Raw genomic sequence first — 441 nt, 5'->3', positions numbered from 1 at the left:
ATCGCTTCTCGGCCTTTTGGCTAAGATCAAGTGTAGTATCTGTTCTTATCAGTTTAATATCTGATACGTCCTCTATCCGAGGACAATATATTAAATGGATTTTTGGAGCAGGGAGATGGAATAGGAGCTTGCTCCGTCCACTCCACGCATCGACCTGGTATTGCAGTACCTCCAGGAACGGTGCACCCCCTCCGGGGATACAACGTGTTTCCTAAAAGTAGAGGGAGGTAAGAGACGGTAGCACCTGCGGGGCGGCTTGCACGCCGAGTGCCTGTGACGCGCCGGCTTGACTTAACTGCTTCCCTGAAGTACCTTGAGGTTCCTGATGTGCGGGCGGTAGACGGTAGGCTTATGCGGCACGCTGTCGTTTCCACCGTGGCTACTGCGCTTTGGGAAGGCCACGACCTCCTCCTTTGGGGAGGTCCTTAGGATCTCAGCTTG

The 441-nt window shown here is 53.7% G+C and overlaps 1 non-coding gene across 1 annotated transcript; it reads left to right on the top strand.

Moving 5' to 3' along the window:
* LOC124904137 (U2 spliceosomal RNA) lies at positions 1-191 on the top strand. Its single transcript, XR_007066010.1, has one exon. It is a non-coding gene; the product is annotated as a U2 spliceosomal RNA (small nuclear RNA).
* Positions 192-441: the final 250 nt, after the last annotated feature.

This window comes from Homo sapiens, chromosome 17 (assembly GCF_000001405.40).
Source record: "Homo sapiens chromosome 17, GRCh38.p14 Primary Assembly".
Classification (NCBI taxonomy): Eukaryota; Metazoa; Chordata; class Mammalia; order Primates; family Hominidae; genus Homo; species Homo sapiens.
Note: the sequence above shows the minus strand (reverse complement) of the source record. Positions and strands in the feature narration are given on the sequence as shown.